The sequence below is a fragment of the Homo sapiens genome, chromosome 13, assembly GCF_000001405.40.
Source record: "Homo sapiens chromosome 13, GRCh38.p14 Primary Assembly".
NCBI lineage: Eukaryota > Metazoa > Chordata > Mammalia > Primates > Hominidae > Homo > Homo sapiens.
Window position 1 is genome coordinate 33,198,073 of NC_000013.11, and position 21,207 is coordinate 33,219,279.

Sequence of the window (21,207 nt, forward strand, 5' to 3'; positions counted from 1 at the left end):
CAGGAGAATTGCTTGAACCCAGGAGGCGGAGGTTGCAGTGAGCCGAGATCACGCCACTGCACTCCGGCCTGGGCCACAGAGTGAGACTCCGTCTCAAAAAAACAAAACAAAAGAAAAGCTGTTTCAACACCAAATATGTCAACCTAAGCCATCCAGGAAAAAAATCTAAATTGTCTTTGACTTATTCTTTATTAACCAAGCCCACAGTCACTAAGGGATGCTTTGTTTCTCTCCTTTTCCCTCTTCTGCCCACACTGCCCAACTCACTAGTCAACTTGTGAGCATCCCAGGCTCACCCAGCATCAGAGCCTTGGCCCTATCTGTCTCCTCTGCTTGACCCAGGCTTACCCCAGATGTTTAGAGACCCTGCCTAAAGCCTCCTTCCTTCAGGTCTTCCCTCAAGTTCTTTCTCCAAGAGGCCTTCCTTAATTACCTTGAATATATATTGCAAAATGTACAGAAATTAACCCTTCTCCCTCACCTCCATACCCCCTTTCCCTGTTTTATTCCTTCTCTTTATCAGTTATCACTAAAATAAACATAGTTCATTTATTTATGCTATTCACTCTCTGTCTTCTCCACAAGAGCATGAGCCCCACGAGTCAGGAAACTTTGTTTTCCTATTTTGCTCATTCCTGTGCCTCTATAGTCTAAAATTGGGCCTAGCACACAGTAGATATCTAATGAATATATACTTAAATGGACAGGTGGGTTATTGCAATGGACCTATAAATGGTGCTACTGCATCTTCTCTAATGCACTTTCTACCAAAATATTCATCCTAAATTACAAGTTGAAAATCGCCACCTTCCTCATAATTTGTCAGTAACTACATATGATTTATTAAATAGCATCTAAAACCCTTAAAAAGTTCTAGCCCCCATCTCCTTTTCCAATCGCCTTTCCCAATGCAGTGATCTCTCCATACATCCTAAGGTATAGTCACGCTGAGGTTCACTCATCTATTTTTGAACACATTACACACTTAAAGTCTTTGTGTTTTTAAACATACATCCTTTGATCTTGAGCATCTGTTTCCTACTTTACCTTCTACTGAAATCTGTTGATGTTTCCAGGCCACATTTCATATCATGCATAAAGCTTTTCCATTCTTTGAATTGGATTTAAATATGTGCCCCATAGCACATTGCCTTAAGCCCCTGATTACAACAAAAATCATTCTTTCTTGAATTGTGTCCATATCTGTCCCCAAGACGTGACTGTAATATTCTTGAAAAGACATTATATGTCTCCTTTTCATAGTTCCTTTCACACAGTAGATGCTCAATAAATGTTTGTTGGCATTAAGTATACAATGTCACTAGCTGTGCATTTTGGAGGAGGAGAACTGTAGTGAGATAAGCATTTAGGTCCTTTGTAGAAGTAATACACCAACACCAAATAAGTGAATGTCAGCAAAACCGAAAAGAAACAGAAAGCTATAGTTTAAGCCAACATGAAGCAGAAGACTTTACAAGAAACTCTAAAGATAAAAATAACTTCTGCTCTGCTAGAATGCCTGCCACAGAGAGGTCACTTATTTTGGAGTTTGATCCTCAGCTAAAAATAAACAGCTTTTATTGAAACTGAGTTCCCAATATTGTTGTTTAACTATTTTGTGGTTTCATTCAGGTACTTGCAAGGCCCAAAGAACACTAATCAGGATGCCTCAGTGTTACATAAGGGTTCTTTTCATGGAGTAATTTATGGTTAGTTTGAGAAATTGTATCTCATCTGCTTGCTGGGTTTCTCCTCCTTAGGCATGTCTCGTAATGTATATATATGGCCAGTCATTGGCCGGGCCCAGTACCAATGGTCCAGGATGCAGTATAATAAGCACATGTGGGAAGAACAGCGGTTCTCAGGACACTGTTCTAAATCATTGTTTTCCTTTGGGGAGTAGAGAACCAATAATTCCAAGTAGCTTTTATGGCATAATCTTTGCTGAGGCAGTAGAGCATGTTTGAAATCTGGGCCCATGAGCAACAAATTCAGATAGGATCCTCTTGCCCTTTGCTGAGTGCAGAATAAACAGGTCTTTGGGGAGGCCCCACAGAGGCTGAAGGTAACCAAACACGCTGCCTTCTAGCCCTGTGGTCTGCTGACACAGCTCATGCCCTTCCCTGCCATCCCCTAAGGGTTCCTGGGGCTGGAAGATAGTGAAGCTTTCTTCAGCTAGCCGCTTGCTCTGTCATTCACATCTAGCTCCCCTAACCAGCCTGGCTCAGCTCAAGCTCAGGTAAATGACCTATTCGTCCCTGTGCCACCCACCATCTGTATGTGGAAGCCCTTGGCAAGGCAGGAGCTACCGTGCCAGCCCCTTGAAGTCTGCTTCAGTCTTCCAAAGCGTCACCAACAACGAGACCACTTCAAGGTACTCTCCGGTCATTAACACTTAAGTTCCCTGTAGTGAATTTCTCAGGACTCCACTTTCCCCTGCTCCTTCCACACCTAACCTGCTGCCACCGACATTGCATGTGTGCTTGGCTGTTGCCCTACTGGGGGACTTACCCATATATGTATTATTGTGTTTCTATTCACTTTGGAAGTTGGCACTCCTTCACCTTTTAAACAGTGAACTCTCTGAAGCAGAGGACTTGCACCCACTTACTCTGTTGTTGCACATGGAACACAACTGAACAGGACCATTTAGAAACATGCTTAAAGGGCCGGGCATGGTGGCTCACGCCTGTAATCCCAGCACTTTGGGAGGCCAAGGTGGGCAGATCACGAGGTCAGGAGATTGAGACCATCCTGGCTAACACGGTGAAACCCGTCTCTACTAAAAAAAAAAATACAAAAAATTAGCCGGGCATGGTGGCAGGCGCCTGTGGTCCCAGCTACTCGGGAGGCTGAGGCGGGAGAATGGCGTGAACCCAGGAGGCGGAGCTTGCAGTGAGCCGAGATTGTGCCACTGCACTCCAGCCTGGGTGACAGAGTGAGATTCTATCTCAAAAATAAAAAATAAAAATAAACAAATAAATAAACAAATAAAAATAAAAATAAAAAAATAAAAAATAAAAAATAGAAATATGCTTAAAGAAGCAATGTGCTTCTCTGCACTTTTGGGATGAGATGGAAATGTTCCTGCCCACTAGCAATCCTTAGCTCTGGCCCCTGTACCGAGAGCTTCAGCGGGTGGCATTATTAGTGGGGATGCACTTTAAGTATTATTCCAAGAATTGGAAACAGAAACCCTCCCACACTGAGCACAGATGTGGTGATGGATGATGTATCTCAGTGGCATGGCCCCATCAAATCCCGTGTTCAACTGACTACATGAACCTATTTTTGTCAGTGATTATTTCCGGTATTCCTGTGGTTTATCCCAATGTAACATGCAGAATCTACTATGATAACATGGCTTTACCTCTGCCAGTTATTCCATGTAAAAAGAGATTAAATGAGAGATTGCCAAAAAACTTCCACAATTTACATAGTTTTCTTCATAGTATTTGAACAAGTAGACTCAAATTTTCTTTTTACCTGTTTTAAACCTCAGCTCAAGAGCAAAGTTAAACCAGTTTGAATCTCCAGCTCTCCATGCAGTCAATTTTTAAATGAAAATGGTTGAGGCAGGCCTTCTAGGCCCCTTCTGATACTCAGATTATTGTTCTGTCAAAGAATTTTCAAATTCTGGCCTCAAAGGTTACCTTATTTTCAACATTTTCTAAATTTAAACAGAAGGGAGAGTAGTAAAATTGGAAGCATGGTAAGAAGTTGCTCAACTTGATTGTTCCAAGTATATCCTTGATTCTGTGTAAAGAACCTAAAAATGGAGGCCTTATGGTCAACATAATTAGTACATAATCTGTCAGGCAACCTTTGGATTCTTAAGAATTTTTATTTGATTATAAAAGTAATACTGGTCACTTATTTGCCATTTTTCATATTATTTATAAATAATATCATGCTGAACATCTTTGTTCAGAAAGCTTTGTCTACATTTTTATGAAACCATTTCGTTAGGATAGTTTCCTAGGAGAATTACTGGATCAGAGGATCTTGATAAATGCTGCCAAACTGCCTTTCAAAAAGATGGTCAGATTTTCTTTTTAAAACACAGCTAGTCACAGATATGCCAAGGCTCTCTCAGAATAGAGACAGATGGATGATAGTTTTAATGTTTAGTTACCTAACTATGATTAGTAGGATTCAGATAGGACTAGTAGGTTAATAGTTAATCTGCTGGTGATTAGATGTAGGGTTTTGCATTGTTGCAATCTCAGGTTCCCAGCTGACAACAGTCTATATGCTGTTATGCCATAAGGGACAATTTATTCCAGACACAAAAATGGGTACCAGGGTTCTGTCCCAGAAGGTGTGTAATGACAGGACCCCACAAAGAAGTGGTATGGAAAGACTGACTTTCTCATTCACTTGACAAACATTACTTGAACACCAACCAGACATAAGAAACTACAGCGAGCACCAGGGAGTCAAAGCAGCATGGTACCTGGCCTGTCTTTGCGGAGCCTAGGGAGGAAGGAAGATGTGTAAATAAAGAATGAAGTAGAATAAGATAAAACCTTGATTAGAAGTTTGGAACCATGAATGAAGAAGGCTCTAGCTCTGTGAAAGAATGGTGGTGGAGAAGGTTTCAAAGGCAAGTGATGCTTAAGGTAGCTTTGGAGGAGGAGGAGGATGTTGGCAAGTGGTAGAGAAAACATTTAGCAGAGCACAGGGACAGAACTGGGCAGAGCGTGGAGGTGTGAAAACATGGAGTGTAATAGTGAAGTCATCTGGTGGGTGGGGCAGGAGGGACACGGGTGGCAAAATTCGCTCACTTCCTCTTTCTGAGAGGGACCTCTGGGGGCTCCAAAGAAACCTTTGAGATCAAAAAAGAGCTAAGAGAAGCCTTTGAATGACGGGCAGAATTTATTAAGAAAGGGAAGAAAGGAATATTCCAGCAGCAAAGAAGTTGTCGAAGTTCAATTAGTGACTTTAAATGGCCTGAAAGTTTTCAAAGCATTTTCATGCACATTATGTCATATGGGCCTCCCAACCACCTCGTGCTACAGTAAGGCACACATTCTGATTCCCACAATGCAGCGGAAGAGCACAGTTGAATGGCGTGGCTCCCAAGGCTGCCATATTTCGAGATTCTAGGGGCCACCACACACCTGTGTTCACAGAACAGGGTGCGTGGTGATTCTCTGTACTGGCAGGTCTGGCTTCTGATGTCCTTTGCAGTACACTAAGCTGTGATCATGTTCATCATGTAAAATGAAAAGGATTTAAAATGAAAACACAGTAATCACTCCTATCTTTTCATATCTTATATGCTGCTATGCTATCAGTTTTACTGGATTATTTTGAAAGATGAAGTGGATGTGTGTGGGTATATGCATATATGAAGATTAGCATATATTTATTTGTATGGTATATCTATGTATCTATAAAATGTGAGAAAATATTAGGTACCTTAATCTGCACTATTATCCATTTTTTTTTACATTAGGAAGTTTAAAAATTACATATATTCAACCATACTAAATCAAAGCAGCATCACACCAATTTTAGCCCTATTTTTTAAAGTTCAACCTGTTTGAGGAAATGACTAGTCTTACACAATGCTGAGAATCTTGATGAGAAAATCAAATAGTTATTCTACAAAGAGAAAAAAAATAGATGCAAATACCTTCAAGAGCAGCCTCCTATAAACAAAAGTATTACTACATAAGATTATAGAATTTTGTTTTTAATTTTGTTTTAACTTTAAAGGCTAAAGTTTTTAGCTTTTTCAGTGTAATGCAGAAGTTCTGTCTAAGAGAGTGGAGGCAATTTCATTAATGGCATACGTACCAAAAGCTAATAGCACAAGATGCATTATAAATGTCTTACTGACATTTGAAATATCTCTGGGAGACAAAAATGGCTATAATTATTCATTATATTTGTAAGCAGTGAATTAGATTCATCAAAAGGTTAATCATCTTCCTCAAGGTCACAAAATTAGGCAGCATAAAGGTAGTATCTGAAATCCAAGGCTTCTGACTGTTACCTCGGTCCTTGAAATCAATTAAAATCGTCTCCATAAGGTCTGACGTGGGTACTGTCAGAAGCTGGCAAAATTCTTTTACACATTAGAAAAACAGGTGCGGATGCTACCTTGTCACATGTCAGCATGTGTCAGCACATGTGAGTTTAGCTCATGCAGAACATACTGGTTGGCATAGATGATTCCTTCACATGCAGATATGAATCTACACAACAACAGTATGTTCCAGTATTTCACAAAGAGTATCAGACGCACATCTCTCAATGACTACATAGGTTGCACAGAGTGTACAAAGAACTCTGTCTACTGATATTTCCTTCCTCTCATTTTTCACATTTAGACTGTAGGAAACAGGCTAAGCTAATGAAAAGACAGTACGACAAAATCTTCAACTTTCAGTTTCTGATTTCCCCAATAAGAAAAGACATAAATGTGTCATTTCTTATGAGACGCGTGGAAAGAACCCCGTAGAAACCATATGGTTGTCAGTAACGGCATAATCTCATTCAAAGGTGCTAAGAACACTAATGAGACCAGGATGTCAGGAAAAGCAGAAATAGATCAATATTTCTCTCCCATTTATAGTTGTCCTCACCATCAGTCTCTGCACCAGCTCTATGTAAATGAAATCAATCAGCAAGGATTTCTGCAAAACGCATAAAACAGTTCTCCTCTCAGCTCTACCGGAAGATAAATGATTCCAGACGTTGGCCTGTGGCCATTTTCCCACACATGCTCCAGAGCTCTGACATCCATATTGGGCCATAACACTGAGTGGTTTCTACTTTGGCGAGTTTACAGCCAGCGCTTCCACTTCTGGTTTGGACTAGACAGCCTGCTAATGCAGATGCAAAATAAGTCCCTTTCCGCCTGTGTAAATTGTAAAAGAATTGACTTTTTCCAATAAAGGACCTCCTGTGAGCCCCCTGAAAACTTTCTGCTATCGCTCATAGAATCTTATCATTCTCAATCACTGCTTTAGATCCCCTTGGAATTAGACGAATCCTGGCCTAATAAAACATGCGACATATGACATCGAACGCAAACCACTTAGATGTAACATACAATTACCAACAGCCCAAGTCCAACTTTGAAAACGAAGCCGTTGAAAAATGTATTAAACATAAATAGCAGGATTGTTTCATATGGTAGCTTATGTTCTGAAAGAGGGTAACAGACTTTCTGAGAAAGATAAACTACAGAAGATCCAGAAGCAGCTTCCTTTAAAAATGATGTCAACACCAATAACATTATTTGGAAGGCTCGTAGGAAGTCCAGGTCATATTCATAGCTATTTAAGTAACGTAGCCCATGGAATTAAGCATGCTAATACAAAGCATTTACTGCCAACCTCGTCAATCTGAAAGGTGGGTCGCTTTCTTAATAAACTGCCTTTGAGGAAAGATACAAATAATTTTGCCCATTGTTATAAATAGAGAGAGAAGGAAGGAAGGAAGGAAGGCCTTATCTATATCTGTAGTCTGAGATAAAACAATTCTCTCTGAGATTAAATAAAAGTAAAATAAATCTAACTGTAACTTGCAAATGTTTCTAGAGTGAGTAGCCAAAATGACAGTCACTGCTTTTTAATTTTAAATCAAGTTCTTGTTAAGAGAATGTTGTAAATATCAAGTCCACTACAAAGAAAACTTTTTATATCAATGACAAAACTCACAATCTACATAGGAAGTAACTGTTGTCTTTCCCACCACCACGACCTCTTTTTCTATGGAACACAAACTTACTTTGTTTAAAATTGTCCTTAGGCTGTGCTGTACCTTTCAAACAAAACCCCTCTCTTCTTCAATTCATTTTCAGCTTTCTTGAAAACTGCTCCTCAGAAACTGACAGATGGTGCATCTGTCACCGAGTGTTTTCTCTTCGTTATCTCTGCCAGCTAATATTTCCTCTGTGCTTGGCTGTTGTCTGTGAGACTGGTCCACATCATTCTAGCCTGATCAATGGTGTGCCTGGTTTGAGGTTGGTTTTGGCCCCGCCTCCAGCTCTAAGAGAAAAAAACGAAAACTCACAGCTGGATTTCCTATAAATCCTCTTTTTAAAACTGGCTCTGCCGCTCTGGCACATACCAGAGGAAACGCTGCCAGTCTATCACAAACCAAGGGGGGTGCTCCTTCTCCTAGGCACCCCCACCGCTAGTGTCAGGTGCCTTCCTTATATAACACATCCCATTTTAAGTTAGCCTAAAACTTCACAGGAAGGGAAGAAGTGTTTTAAACCAAGCTTAGGTTTTTCCATGCCTAATAAGACTCGAAAGAAGATGCCCATGACTGAAACACACACACACACACACACACACACACACCCATAAATAATTTTTAATCTGTTAATACTGTGCAAACCAATTCCAAGGAGAAAACAGAAAAGGAGAAAATGCCAAAATAGGATATAACAAAATCAGTGCACATTTAATTGTGTATCCTTAAAAAACTCAGGTCATCCTTCACATTCTGATGACATTACACCCTCAGTTGGCAACAGGATTTGCTTGTATTTACACTGCCAATGAACTTGGTGAATCAGGAGAATGCATGGGATGCATTTCAGGTTCCAGATGAGAGGCAGTTGCTTCTCTGGGTTAACCACTACCAAGTGGGGTTGAACAGGTGACTGTGGAACAATCAGTCTGCTCTGTAAGTGAGCATGACAAACAATGCATTGTAGACTTTCGTATACTGCATGCTCGATGGTAATCTCACCTTATCAGTGAGTGGAGGCCACACGTTTACCATGAATAGAAAAAGTGAGTGTTCCTAAACTAAGGCTATATGTTGGAATACTGTACTAGGATTCACAGTCACAGGATCTGGATTCGAGTCTCAGTTTTATTTCTCGGCAGTGTCCTCGAACATGAAAGGCACAGAGTATGCTCTGGAGACCTCACAGATGACAGCAGATCAAATGAAGATGATAAAGAACTTTGTTGTTATTATGCAACATTCGTATTGTTATTTTCAACAACAGAGAGAATATTAAATAAATATACATGTTTAATCTGGCAGAGGATGATACCAAACTACCACTGCCTGTGATAAGGAGAGCTAAAGATGAAAGGATTCCGGGAGTAAGGTGCAGAGTATACAGTGCATGCTGAGGATAACAGCCACTCAGATTTTAAATGTTTGAACTCCACAGTGAGGGAGAATACGAAGTAAGCATAGGGCAGAGTGGGGCTGAATAGCAAAAGTTTGATACCTTAGTTCTCCTTCCACTCTCACTCAATAGAACCCTAGAACTGGCATCTGCCATTAGTCAGTGAGCTCCTTAAAGGCAAGAAAAACACAACTGGAGTCTGTCAAATAAGAGAATGAATGAGACTTTGAACTAGATAAGAGGTACTCACTCTAAGAGAGGGAGTATAGAGTATTGTGAGAAGCCTGAGTTTGAAGTTGTAAAATCAGATACTTCAAGGTTGAGAGTGCCTGTGTGTCTCAACCTTGTAGGGATTTGTAGAGAGAGAGGCTTTCTGAGTAACTGAAAAGTAACACGAGAGATTTTGTTCAGGGTCCCCTGATTTCGTCCAGCTTTCTACACTCACCCCTCAACTCCACCCCTTTCCCACTTCCTCCATGAGAACGTCATTCTGTGACAATGAACTTGAGTCAAGAACCAGGATGTCTGTAAACATCCCTTTAATGAAAGCACATGGATTGTTGGGTCAATTCTTCCCATATGGTGTTGCAAGTCTTTGCTTGCTGTAGCTGGCCAGAAGTCAGCTTTTTAATCCAGCAGGCCCTGCTCGATGCAGGCTGTGTGACAGGCATCTGTGACCCTGCCCCGCCCACAAAAGGCAGATTATAGGGGCTGCTCCTGCTCCTACCCTGCCTGGCACCTCACTGCCAATGAGCTTCTGTGCTCTTGACTAAATATATTGGGAAATTCCCTACTTCCATAATAGTTTCATGTGTGTGATCTCTTCTCCCCAAGCTAAAGGATTATGCCAATTTTGGGTAAGAGAATTTGTCAACTGCGAAGATCTTATCTAATAAATCCTTTTAAAAAACCTCCTAAAATGTGCAAGACATTCCGTGCTAGCCACTTCAGAGGATGTGTGCTGCCAGCTCTCTCTGGCACAGGTGGTCTGCAAGGGTACATGAAATGAAATTATCACCTAAAGCAGGATATGAGGACAGTGGGAGGTGGAAGGAGTCTAGGTTGGGGAGTGGGAGTGGGAGAATCTAGAAAACATGGCGGGGTTGTAGCATGAGGGTACACAGGCAGAGATGAGGGAGGACCCAGGAGAGAGAAGGACACTTCCAAGTAGGGAGTGAGCTCTAAGGCACCCAAAGAAACAGGAGGCAAGGCAAGCTTGGGGACTCAGGAACCTTCTGGTGCTGCTGAAGCACAGGGAACACGTGGGGGAAATCAAGCAAATGAGTCATCAAAGGTGGGGCGGAACCATATATGGGATGGCCTTGGATGCTGGGAGAGGGTATGGGGAGTTCATACCAGCTCAGGTAGCAATTATGAACCCTTGGGGGTTTTAGAGCACAGGTGTAACACAGTCTGAGCGGTGAGAGCTAGAAACCATGTTAAGGATGGATTCTAAAGGGAAGCGTAGGCAGATGGCTCCACTCAGGAGGCTATGGCAATTATTTCAGCAAGAGGTCATGAAGGCTGAACTAGGAGGACAGGGTTGAAAACAGGAAGAGTGCTAGAGGCAACCAGAAAGACATGTGAGTCCAGGGAGATATGTCTTAGGAAATTCCATCTGGAGGAATTTTTCCTGGAGGTATTTGCAGACAGGTGTACACACATATTCAAGTTTTAATTTCAGCATCTTTCATTGCAAAAGATTGCAAATTACCTCAGTGCTCACCAATAGAGAACTTACAAATAAATTATGGTACAGCCACATAGTGAAATACTTTTGCAGCCGTTTAAAATACACACACAGCTACAAGACTACTGTTGTCACATGTTGGTGATAAGCACCAGATTGCTAGTGGTCAGGAAGTATGCCTAGAAGAGAAGTTTTAGACAGAGATTCAATTTATGGCAAAGGAAGGAAAATATTGGGGAGTGGAATGTGCATGGGTGGGGACCTCAGGACTTGTGTGTTACCCCCATATTGGCACCTGCGTTCCCCAGGACCAGGACAACCTAGAGCTGTGCAGTGTACAACCTACGCAAATGTATATGGTGTCTCTGCCTACAACCACTGACTCAAAGGTGCCAGAAATCTGCCTCATCCAGCCTTGATCAATTTCATAATCAAAAGCCCAGAACCTGTGTGCCTGAGCCAATCAGCATTGGAAAGGAACAAACAGCAACACTACCCATATTGGGGACCTAAAAATGCCTTTAAGAATTATACCAGATGGCAAAGCAAAAAGCATGATGTCTGAATCTTCTCTCTCTCTCTCTCTTTTTTTTTTCCAAATTCCAGGGCCTAAGAAGCCAATTAACCATTCCAAGCAATATCTAGGTGTAAGTGCAGTGAAAGTTCATAAACTGAACACAGCAACAACAATTAGGACAGATCTGCTGGTCGTCAGTCCTGCCATCCTTAAGTGAGGGACCGATATTTCAATCATCATTCCCTTTCTTTTCAATGACAGGACATCTTGAATGACCATATACAAGAAGCGGAGTCCAAGACAAGCTGTAGTGGCTCACGTGCACTCCCAACACTTTGGGAGACCGAGGTGGGAGGATCACTTGAGCCCAGGAGTTCAAGACCAACCTAGGCAACACAGAGACACCCTGTCTCCACACAAAAAAAATAAAAATTAGCCAGGCATGGCAGCATGCACCTGGAATTTTAGCTATTGGGGAGGCTGAGGTGGGAGGATCACTTGAGCCTAGGAGGTGGAGGCTGCAGTGAGCTGTGATCATGCCACTGCACTCCAGTCCAGTGATAGACCAAGATCCTGTCTTGAAAAACAAACAAACAAACAAAAAAACAGAGTCCAGTTCCAGCTTCATGCACAGAGTGGGTGTGCAGCTTCAACAGCAGACGCTGGGGTCGACAACAGCCGCAGTGTTCTTTGAAGGGGCAAGGTAGGAAGGATCCTAGAGGCAATAAATATGGCTCCTTGGGGACTTTGTTTTCTTTCTTGCAAAGAGCCAGGTCTATTAAACATCAGCTCTGCAGAGGGGAGAGCACACTGAGGAAGCAGAACTTACTGCACATCAAGGGAGGAGCCCTTACAAAGTAGCAGGTTGCAGACAATTTGCAAATTCCGGCAAGAGTAAATGAAGAACACAGTATTTCACAGCCAGTGAGGGCAGTATGACTTCATGGATAAGAGTGTGCTCCCTTTACAGTGCAATAAAAAAACTGCACTTAATGCCCAAATGCCTGAATTGTAATCTTGGCTCTGACGGTACAAGCTGTGTGAATTTGAACAAGTTACTTGCAGTCTCTCATTGTTGACTAGATAATAATGGTACACATCTTAGGGTTGTTGCACAGATTTAGTGCGTTAATGTACATAAAATGCTTGCCACAGAGCTTAGCATAAGCATTCAATACATGCTATCATTCCATAGTTAGAATGGAATAAAACACAGGTGATTTAAAATATAGGTGATTACGACTACACTTAAAAGATTGACTTTGATTAACCACAAATCAAGAAATTAAGAATTCTCTGTAAGAACTGCTAATTGTATTAATGCCTGCAATTTGAAATACTTGAGCAAATAGGGTGCGATATTGTGTGTTATTTAACACTTAGGTTAAGCGATCCTGCAGATGCTGCTAGCATCTAATCAACCATTCAAAATCTGGTAGACCAACAGTTTAGCTGGCATTCTAAAGAGGGCACCTCCACATCAGAATCGGCCATTTCAAGCCCTGTTGTTACCATTTCTCCATTTCTTTTGGTCATATATTTTGGTTTAGATCTTGGATACCAAGAAATTCACCAATTTCTTGACATAAAGGAATGAGAAAACAAAAACTCACTGGAAATGTACCATACGTTATTTGCATTATGCTATGAATATCATTATAAATATGAAAATATAGTTATTGTATAGGACAGGATCATTCCTTTTTAGTAAATTATTTTTATCTTCACAAAGTGAAATCAAAGAATATCTAACACACTCTAGTAGCTAATAAAAAATCTTTAATATATTATTTTAAAAATATTTTAAAATAAAAATATTACATAAAACATGAAAGATATTAAAATAAAAATATTATTTAAAATATCTTTTAAAAATATTTTAATGATACCAAATAATGCTCATTGAAAATATTTAAATAATGCAGAAGCATAGCCTAAAAAAGTAAAAGCCTGTTTTTATTCCTAACTTCTAATTTCACTTGTCTCCTTGGAAGTAGTCACTATTAACAGTTTGGTGTGTATCCTTCCAAACTTATTATGCATATATAACACACTTGTTATATATGTGGGTTTTGATATCTGTGATATCAGACACCAAGGGGGATTGGTTCCAGGATCCCCACAGATATCAAAATCCACAGATTCTCAAGTCCCTGATTCAAAGTGGGATAGTATTTGCATTTAACCTACATACATCCTCCTGTATACCTTAAATCATCACTAAATTACTTATAATACCTAGTACAATGTAAATGCTATGTACACAGTTGTTCTACTGTGTATTGTTGAGGGAATAATGACAAGGGAAAGAAGTCTGTACATGTTCAATATAGACACAATTTTTAAAATAACATATTTTTCAATTCCCGGTTGAATCTACAGATTTGGAATCCATGGACAGAGAGAGCTGACTCTGTGTGTGTGTGTGTGTGTGTATGTGTGTGTGTGTGTGTGTGTATGACACATATTCATACACATATCTTATGTATGTAAAATATACACATATGTCTATACATACTTGTACATATATACCCATGTTATACACCCATAAGAATTGCTTTTCACTGAAACAGAATCATAATATATGTATTATTCTCAGACTTACTCTGTTCATTGGACAATATGTCTTGGAGATTTTCAAATAAACAAATAAGAAAGCTAATAACAAATTAGCTCAGTGGAACCCCAGTGACTGTTTTAGTCAAAAGTGTGGTTTCAGGGGACCAGACCAAGGAACCAGCACCACTCAGAAGCATGCCTTTTGGGGTGGCTCACCTGTCCCCCTGAAGCTGACAGATTTGTCCCTCTGTACCTCTCCAATAGCTTTACATCCCGAGCAGTGTGGTAGAAAAGATGGGTGAGTGAACCCGCACAAACTCATAAATGAAAACATTTATTAAGTAGAATTTAAGTGTCTTACTTCGTGACCAACTGTTCCTTTAGCATATGTGCAGATATCCAGAGCATGCCTGCCTTGTTTTCTACTCCCATTTTAAGCAGAAAATAAAGCCACTTTCTACTGTTGAATTATTCTTATTTACAGCAATAGAAATGTCAACCTTTCAGATTTGGACACTGAGTTGCTTGGGCACACTGGCACCCAGAGCCTACATGAGCAGCAACATGTATTAATCCTCAGGGGTCCTGCAGGCAGGTGTGGGCAGGTGCAGATGTGCATGAGGAGGACTCTGGGACTTTCCAGTCTCTAGGGTCATGGAGCCTATTTTCAAGTCGCAACTTGAGGTTCTCAGGTTCTCAGGCTACTACATATGCCTCCAACTCAATTTCACTCGCAAGCATTCCAGGTAATGTGGAGAACCAAAGAAACTCATGTTTATAGTGTGTTTGAAAAACAATCTCTTCGCAAAACCCTTTCCAGAATTTTACATTCCTAAACAGGTATGACAATCTGTCATCTAATTTCTGCTATTATTAAATTGCCTTTCTTTTTCTGAGAAAAAAGTTACCTTTCCTTATAAAATGACACATTTTCACCTTTTTGTTAGCAAGTATTGCTTAAAAAGGAAAGTTTTGTCAAACCATCATGTTTTTAGATCAAGGCAACCTACCCCTTATCTCTGCTACGTTCTTGTTTTGAAGCAAATCAAGGCAATGTACTTGCTAGTTGAGTTATTGACCCTGATTTTTTGAACTCCCTTTATCCAAAAAGGTTCCGTAAGAAAAATCAGACAGTACATCTGTAACATGAGGGCTCTGACAATGAACTGTAACAGTAATGCCAGCTGGGTACATAAAATTCCAATGCTAAGAATTTCATTCCACATCAGGTACAGTTTGAAAATGTCGGCAATGCCTTATCTCTGTGGACATTTCACTGCACATATAGGATTTCTATGTCAATATTTGTAAAATTCTAAGAGTTATACACTCTGGCTTATATTACCCAAAAGGAGAGGGAGAGAAATGGGGGAGAAAAAAAATCTTGTCGGCAAAGAGTCAACCATGCACTGGGGAGTCGTATTGAAAACAGAAGACAAAATCATGTAGTACAAAATTAACTATGTTCACAAGAGAGGCTCAGAAGGACATAAGGGATAAACAAAATCTCCATCACATCAGCATCTTTCCTACAAGTCTGATGTTCCAGAGAGTCTGCTCTTTGTTTCTGTTGCCAAGGAATGGAACCTACTCTGGCTCTCTCGAGGTAGAGAAAGTATGTGAAGTTCTGGCATTCAACAGCCGCAGACCAGGGAAAGTCAACAGTGAGGCAGAAAGCATAAACTACCTGCTGGGGCAAGCCAATTTCATGCATTGTGCTCATGGCAAGACAAGATTGGATTTGCCTCTTGCAACTGGCACTGCTGTTCTTCAGGATTGATTACCCTAATTCTGTGCTTATCTTGTCCTTTCACCCCAACTGTCTACTAACCTTTTACCTGTATATCAAAGCTTATACTTTAAATTTTCAATGGTGGTATCTTTAATCCTGGGCAGAGAAATCCAGAAATCCTTGGTATAACACTTAGCACAGGGCCTGCTTTAATTAAGATGCTAATGGGCATCAACAAGGAAGCTGCAGTATGGAAAGAACAAAGCCCCAGGTCACGTGGCAAGGCAGGCTGATCACTTTCTAAGCTGGATTTCTTCCACTATTTTGAAGATTACTTCACCTCTCCCGGCCTCACCCAAATCATATATACACTAGAGTTTTCACTTTCATTCGGGGTTCGCATCACAAGCGACTGTGCGATGAAATATTCTAAAAATCTAGCATCTCTTTTAAAGTTCACTTTGAAATTTAAGGAGAAAGCAGACTTAAAGAGGATTCTGAAAGTGTAATGAGCATCATCTCTTTAAACCTCACAAACAAAAAGCACATTCTTCATTTTTTGGTTTTATATCTGACTGCTTTCTAACAATAACTTTACATGACTGGGTTGAAATAAACTTAAAAACCAAACTTGGAGGCATACTTATCTAAAAAGTCTAGGAATCCTAAGCTCCTGAGACTGACTTCTCATTTTGCTGCAAAGCGTGGGTGGCCACAAGCATTCCTGGCAGCTATAAGGCATTTGCTAACGTATTTGACTTTTAAAGTTGTTAATCACACTTATCAACATAGGCAAGCAGCACTGGCCACAAAAGATTAGCTGCTCTACTATAATGCTCCCAGTAATCCAAATGCAGGAACATCCGCGCCGAGTGATAAGTGCATCTGCCAGCTCCACAACCTTTCAGTGACTTCAGAACTTATTAAAGACCTTAGCTTTTAATAAATCCCAGATTTTCTTTTCCATCACCTTACACACAAACACACACATGCAGATACACACACACATGCACACATACACACACACACACACACACACACACACACACACACACATCCCCTGCAATGGTAGCTAAAACCAAATATTCCCAGTGCTGTGCAGTGTATGAGTTTCTAAAACAACCAGAATGTGCTTCAAAACACCACAGACATTGTGAGTTTCAAGGGGGCCATCACTGACAAGAGATTCAGATGCTACTGATCTCCTTTCACAGGTGCTCCTGCAAAAAATGTGTACAACCAGCAGGAAAGGACTTGGTTTCCAGGGAAACAGAATCTTGTTTAAGTCCTTTGGAAGCATTAGGTTCTACTGTAGTTTTTCCCCTCAGACACATAGACTGTTGCTCCTTGCAAAATAATTTATTTAGTGAACAAGAAAATGCTTTGCCCAGCTTAGAGGTAAGTGCATCAGAAAATTCAGGAATAGAATGAGTACTTGGGGGGGGGGGTGGGGGGAAATAAGCACCTCTCACTGAGCCTGCTAGTCTCTGACTGGTGGGATCTTGCTTTCACATAAGGATTCTTCCTTACAAGACCTGAGGTTTCATCTGCAGACATGTTTCTGCCTTGTTGGAGTCATGCTGAAGGCCCCATCCTTGCAGCTTGGGCTCTGCTCTGCCCAGCCGGTCTTAACCCTCAAAGGCTAACAAGTGCTTTACTTCTACAAAACAAAGCAAAAACAGTGAAGATCTATCTCCTATTTCAACCTCTGGCAACTCTCCAAACAGCATCCCCTCATAACCTATAAACATTCTTTCACTTTGTAATATAGCAAATGACTTATTTTTTACACTGAAAACTTTTTTTACTCTGTTCTTTTGATTATGATGTAGTTCAGAGTTTGGATCCAGGATGCTCAGACATAATAATGCTCATGATATTCAAGGTCACTTCTATCACCTGGAGATGTGGCTGCTTCATGGCTTAAATGTGACTGAAGAGTTACTGGAGTGGGGACTAGAACAAGCAGAGAAATCTCATTTTCTAGGCATCTTAAAAGGAAGGCAGAGTATCATTTCCCTGAAGTATTTGAGTGCAGGCCATTTTAAAACCATAGATAGAACAGGAAACTTTTTGTGATCAAAAATATGGTTGGTATCAGAATGGAAGAAAATCTTCACAATCTATACATCTGACAAAGGGCTAATATCCAGAATCTACAACAAACTCAAACAAGTTAGCAAGAAAAAATAAACAATCCCACCAAAAAGTGGGCTAAAGACATGAATAGACAATTCTCAAAAGAAGATATACAAATGGCCAACAAACGTATACAAAAATGCTCAACATCACTAATGATCAGGGAATGCAAATCTTAAAACCACAACGTGATTCCACCTTACTCTTGCAAGAATGGCCATAATAAAAAAAATAAAAAATAAATAGATGTTGGCGTGGATGCGATGAAAAGGGAACACTTTTATGCTGCTGGTGGGAATGTAAACTAATACAACCACTCTGGAAAACAGTGTGGAGATTCTTTAAAGAACTAAAAGTAGAACTGCCATTTGACCCAGCAATCTCACTACTGGGTATCTACTGAGAGGAAAAGAAGTCATTATACGAAAAAGATACTTGCATATGCATGTTTATAGCAGCAAAATTCGCAATTGCAAAAATGTGGAACCAACCCAAATGCCCATCAATCAATGAGTGGATAAAGAAACTGTGGTATATATATACGATAGAATACTACTCATCCATAAAACGAATGAATTAATGGCATTCACAGCAACCTGGGTGGGATTAGAGACTATTAATCTAAGTGAAGTAACTCAGGAATGGAAAACCAAACATCATATATTCTTACTTATAAGTGGGAGCTGAGCTATGAGGATGCAAAGGCATAAGAATGACACAATGGACTTTGGGGACTCTGGGGGAAAGGGTGGGAAGGAGGTGAGGGATAAAAGACTGCAAATTGGGTTTAGTGTATACTGCTAGGGTGACAGGTGCACCAAAATCTCACAAATCACCACTAAGGAACTTGCTCATGTAACCAAACACCGCCTATTCTCCAAAAATCTATGGCAATAAAAAATTTAAATAAATATATGGTTGGTAACATTTGACCATATGTATAGGAGAGGCACCTGACAACCATAACTGAAGCATGCCCTGAGAATGACCGCATTGTCTAAGAAGAATGTGTGTTTGGAGTCCCAAGCTAAGGAATCTGAGAGTGGCCAACCTGGAGTTTCACTTCTTATCCATGAGGGACATTCGAATCCCTGGCCCATCCCTTGGAACACAGGCCATACAGGGAATCAAGGCCTTTAGTTTTGGGTTAAATGGAGGTTGCCAGGTGGAGGGTGCTAAGTAAAAATGCTATATAACTGCATGCTTTTTATAAACAGTAGTGGTCTTCCTGTGTAGTCTGCTATCACTGGACTGCCCCATATGTAAGTCCCCCCAATAAACCCTATGTCTCGTTGGCTGGCTTCAGGTCTCTTCTTTGGCCTCTGGACATGGTACTATCCCTGCTGGAGTCAATAGGGATCTGGCATGACACCATATGACACCTATCATAGCCCACAGGACATGAAATTTGAAAGACATTTCTACTCTTGCAGCTCATTGTTTTTGATGGCATGTGCCAACTAAGTACTGACATGCCACTTGGGGATGAGTGAGGAGGCTGCCCCACCCTTGTGACTCCATGGTGTGAGCACCTCCTGCCTCCTGCCTTTCACCTCCACTGCTTGGCCTCTTCAAAACCCTCTCCATCCAACCTGCTCCTGTCAAATATGTCTCTTGTCAGACTGAGCAATGTCAGACTGAGAGCATTTATTTCATGGGCAGGAAGCCAGAGTGGCTGCTGTGATGTCTGACTGCACGTGTGGTGCAAGCACACAGGGGAAGGGGGCCTTAGATTTTCTCAGGTCAAGGAGGACCATGCGGCCTGGCCTTCTCCACTTAGCGCTGCATGAGCTCACTGGGCTGGCATCAGAAAGCCCTTCCAAAACAGGAAGATACAAGATAAAACCTCCAAGAGAGCAAGGGAGGAGAGTGATGCTCCCTCTGGGAAGAATGCACCAAGCCAGAAATAAACACCTTCATGAAAAATATTTTAAAAGTTAAGCTCAAAATTGTTTTTTAAATGCAGCTTTACTGAAAAAACTATAAGCTCAGAGTCTCTGCTGGGGCAAGGATAAACAAAGCACGGTTCTTTCCAACAGGAAGCCCTCAGTCTAGCAGGACAGGTAAATCAGGCGAGTGATTTATTTTAAAAGAGAAAGACAAGGGAAATGAACATTTACTGAGTGTCTACTTCATGGCAAAGCTTGGAGCAGACTATATTACACACACATACACACACACACACAAATTCACACACATCTCATTTTATTCCACTTTACAGAGGAGAAAACAAAAGCTCATAGATTTCAATGGTGTCAAAAGTTACACGGAAGTAGCCAACTTTTTACTGTATGGCAAACATACCTGCTAGCAACAGCTTAGCTTGAGCAACACCCTGAGAGTTACCCTATGGTTTAAGAGGAATGCGTGTTCAGAGTTCCAAGCTAAGGAATCCAGGAGTGGCCAACCAGAGATTCATTCCTTATCTATGAGGAACATCTGAGCCCACGGCCTGTCCCATGGAATGTGGGCTGTCCTGGGGAGTCAGACCCTTTGTTTTGGGTTAAGTGAAGGTTTCCAGGTGAAGGGTAAGTGAAAATGGTACATAAATTGCATGCTTTCTGAAGGTGGTCTCCGTGCTCCTGTCCAGCCTGCCACCACTGGAACACTCTGCATGTAAGTTCTTCTCAATAAACCCTATGTCTCATTTGCTGACTCTTGAGTCTCTCCTTCAGCCTCTTGAACCTGGTGCCATCTCTACTGAAGTGAATAGGGGTCTGGTACGACAATATTCAAATCTAGTTCTCACTCCAAAGCATGTAATTCCAAAGCCCACACTATTCCTACATTATGATGCCTATTTCACTTCATTTGTCTGACTCATAGGAACCTGTTTAACCTCCTTGTTAAATAGAACATTATAAGAAATGCTGCCATACCTTAACACAGCAGAGTACTATATAAATTCAGATGGCATTATTGTAACATATCTTTCATTCAGTTGTCTGTGAAGAACAGATAGTAGTTTATATATTTGTGAAACTCAGCATTAAGATTTTGATATTAAAAAGACAGGGAAGGATACTCTGTGATAAATACGAATTAGGTCACATCATTCTATGCTTGGTTATGCTGAACAACACGGCACTGAAAAAACAGAGAATACCTGTAAGATTATTTCTTCTAAAGGAGAACCTAAAGGTAAACCTAGAACTTGGATGACTCTACAAATAAGGGCCCTGGAAATCTACAGGGCGTCTTCCCTTTCTAATTTTAAAAATATAACAATCGTGTTTACTATATCTATTGTGAAATACAATTACAGGGTACTATGTAAGATGCTAAGGGGTGGATAAATCTCAGAATAAATAAATAAAAGTAACTTTCCATGGACTGAGGGAGACGGTCACCATGCAGTACGCCACAGTTCCAGGGCATGACTGTAGAGCAGGGAAAAGTACTGCAAAGACACCAATCTTTCTTTGATGTGTGTCCCTTTCTTCCCTTTGAGTTGGGTT

The 21,207-nt window shown here is 40.8% G+C and overlaps 1 protein-coding gene across 9 annotated transcripts in view, besides 3 other annotated features; it reads right to left on the reverse strand.

Annotated features, from left to right (window-relative positions):
* Positions 1 to 21,207, reverse strand: part of STARD13 (StAR related lipid transfer domain containing 13) — a 573,658-nt gene that overhangs the window by 94,936 nt on the left and 457,515 nt on the right. For 2 of the 9 annotated variants that reach the window (NM_052851.3, NM_001243474.2), the window contains exon 1: positions 7,747 to 7,952. The exons of the other annotated variants lie outside the window; for them this stretch is intronic. The gene's annotated coding sequence lies outside the window, so the exon portion shown is untranslated. Of the gene's footprint in view, positions 1 to 7,746; positions 7,953 to 21,207 lie in introns of those variants that run through there. 9 annotated transcript variants of the gene reach the window in all.
* Positions 1,772 to 1,841: an enhancer, noted in NCBI's record as "active region_7574". NCBI's record gives its function as "activates an Ori minimal core promoter by ATAC-STARR-seq in GM12878 lymphoblastoid cells {active_cell/tissue: GM12878}" and the evidence as "EXISTENCE:reporter gene assay evidence [ECO:0000049][PMID:35858748]".
* Positions 2,192 to 2,241: an enhancer, noted in NCBI's record as "active region_7575". NCBI's record gives its function as "activates an Ori minimal core promoter by ATAC-STARR-seq in GM12878 lymphoblastoid cells {active_cell/tissue: GM12878}" and the evidence as "EXISTENCE:reporter gene assay evidence [ECO:0000049][PMID:35858748]".
* Positions 4,593 to 4,682: a silencer, noted in NCBI's record as "silent region_5255". NCBI's record gives its function as "represses an Ori minimal core promoter by ATAC-STARR-seq in GM12878 lymphoblastoid cells {active_cell/tissue: GM12878}" and the evidence as "EXISTENCE:reporter gene assay evidence [ECO:0000049][PMID:35858748]".